Here is a 2,913-nt window from a genome sequence, read left to right as displayed (position 1 = left end):
TATTTACATCTAAGGACCTTCAGTTGGCCACCTCTTGGGTCTGTTTCCCTACTGGAAGCATGAAGAGCTGGACCAAATACTCTGTACAGGCCATTTCAGCTTGAGTGACTCGTCCTCCTTGCAGCCTCTTTCTATGGGTGGAAGTTTCTGGGATTAATTGGAAAGCTCCTTCTCAGTGCCCAGATGTGAGAGCACTGAAAAGCCCCTTGTCAGGAAGGAGTATATTATTTGACTGTTAAATGGTGTCACAAACACATGCTTCAACAAGGCAAGAGCTCTCTCTCATGCAATGTAAACACTCCCTATCACTGAGAGAGACAGTACATTATCAACATCAGCAGTTTATTGGGTATCAGCATTAGCCACTCAAGCTGAGCTTAACCGACAATTCTTGCAATTCCATATCTTGTCTGATTTTCCCTTTCTAGTTTGCTGTCTTCCCATTGTTCTTTTGCACAGCATGGGAGCTGCTTCTGTTTCTGTTTGTTGCCATAGGAATCGAGTTTCACAGGAGTATGCAAGTGCCCCTGACTCACCTGCTTCTGCAGAAAAGCTATGGGGTATCTGGTCCTTCCAAAGACACCAGGGCTCCAGGTAACCACTCCCTGGTATTAGGAAAAGTAAGCACATAAGATTTACATGGCAATTACATTTGTCAAGGTGCAGGCCATCCATGTTTTCCCTATCTTCCTGAAAACACATATTCCAGTGAGGTACACAGAAGAGGTTTTTGCCCTCCATGCAAAATGGGGTTGCTGTGTATCCCTCTAGAAAATCAAATGAGATAACATACACTTAGAATAGTATCTGGGGTGTAGTTAGTTATCACTCAATGACCATCATTGTTATTTCTGAAGAAAATCAGGTCACATTTTCTGCCACTAAACTTTCAGCCAGCGGTTTTCTTCTAGCTGGCTGAGATGCATTTTGCTGGACTGAGATTTCCATGGATCTGGTGCAAAATTCTAAAAGATGGGGACTGCTTGCCCTTCCTTGCTAGTTCTACTCCACATCATTTCTGCTACAGTGGAACCCACTTTGATTTGGCTTCTGAGTTGATTATTGGTACACAGGCCTTCCCTCTGATAGTTAAAAACATTTGACTGCTGCTTCTGCTTGGACACTGTTGCTATGCTTGGGATTTTTACCCCCAATGGATCTGACCATTCTAGCAAAGTGCAGCCAGTGACAATAAGTAGAACAGAAGGCAAGAGTGATGTATTTTAGAGTATAAATGGGGCCCAAGCCACAGATTTATCATACACGTGTGTCCCTTTTTGCATGTTTTTGGGTTTTTGTGTTATCTTAGTGTTACAAGATGACTGATTTCTTGTGTTCAAAGACTTTACATATGAAATGGGTCATTCCGATGACCCAGCCCAGAGACTCTAGTGATGAATTTGAGCAAGAATGGTCACTGATCTTCCTGAGACGGGCCCCCAAAGGTTAGGGTTTACATTAGACTTCCTGGAATTCTCTGAGAGCCCAGTAAGATTATCACTCATTATATGATCTAAGCCAATCGACAGCCCAAAGCTTCCCATCATCAAGGCCACCTTTATAAAGAACTCTCCTCACTGGGGACTACACATTTTGAAATATTTTGCTATATCAAACAGCATTTATTTATTTGAATAGCCTTCTTTACCACCTGCATTTATGAGGGAGTAATTAAATAAATTTTCCCTTTTAAAGAATTAATTGAAAGGATTGGGTAACTCCCAATTAGTTTCTTGTCAGCATGAGATGCCCTCAAGTTTCTGCAAAATAGAGGTGATACTAGTCATAACCTCAGGGTTGTTATGAGGAGTAAAGGAAGTGGAACAGTGGCTGGCATACAGAAAGTGTTCAGTCAGGGTTAGCTATCATGGCTGTGAAGGTGAGGTTAAAGGATTGATGGACCTGACAGAATCCTTAGCCCAAAGTCAAAGCACTTGTGACTTTGTCTGCCTGCCCGGTCTGAAAGGGAGCGTATGTAAATTCTCTGTCTGGTTGGGAGGATTATTGTTTGTTTCACATTGAGAAAAACTTGTGGACCTCTATTATGCCCTCTAGACCTCTAGGTGTCCAGGGAATGACCTAGGCTCCTTCTCAAGCCAGTCTTTTCAGGCTCTACAATTTGAGGTTAAAAATACAATTAGTATTTTTGTTCCCTAAGACACAGAAGACAACTGCCTTTAATTTGTTCTAAAGTGCTTTCTTTCAGTTTCAGGATGTGTACAAGGCATACTGGGAAGGAAGTTTTTCTTTCACTTTAGCAACCCAGGACTTAATGAGTAAAGCCAGCATGACCTATTTATAACTTGCAAAGGCGGCGGGGTAGTATGTAGGGTAATTAGAGACATAAGCTTTGAGTCATGCAGACGTGGCTTCTCTCCCTGACCCTGTCACTCACTGGCTCTGTGACTTTGGTCAAGTCCCTTTCACTCTCTGAGACTGTTTCGTCACCTACGAAGTGTAGGTTATATTAATACCTATCTCATACGAATGTACAACAGGTAGAGGACACACATAGAAGGGGGAGAGAGAGGTATCCGTGCCATCCTTGTTTTCTTTCTGCTCATTAGCATACCCAGGATCATTTCCCCTCTCAGCCTTTCCCATTCCAGGTTAACAAATCCAAACCTCTACAATGTGTCTAGTCAAAAGACAAAAGGTAGGATGGCATTTTGGTTAACATGAGTCTCATTTCATCTGAGAAAAGGAAGGTAAGCTGGGAACAGATTAAAGCAAACTAGCTATGAGACAGGCAGGCTGGTTGGTTCCCTGTTTTAATATGGTCTGGAGTAAAAGAATGCAAGTTCCTTACTCAAGCTGTAGCTTACCTAACTCTCAACCAATCAGTAATAAAAGACCCAAGAAGCTGTTAACCACAAATTCCTGCTTCGGGGGCTAGGGACTTCCCCAGGGCCC

General features: G+C 42.6%; 1 annotated feature.

Moving 5' to 3' along the window:
* Positions 2,129–2,218: an enhancer, noted in NCBI's record as "active region_30008". NCBI's record gives its function as "activates an Ori minimal core promoter by ATAC-STARR-seq in GM12878 lymphoblastoid cells {active_cell/tissue: GM12878}" and the evidence as "EXISTENCE:reporter gene assay evidence [ECO:0000049][PMID:35858748]".

Source organism: Homo sapiens, chromosome X (assembly GCF_000001405.40).
Source record: "Homo sapiens chromosome X, GRCh38.p14 Primary Assembly".
Classification (NCBI taxonomy): Eukaryota; Metazoa; Chordata; class Mammalia; order Primates; family Hominidae; genus Homo; species Homo sapiens.
The sequence above is the reverse complement of the archived record's forward strand: the minus strand, read 5'-3'. Positions and strand labels throughout refer to the sequence as shown.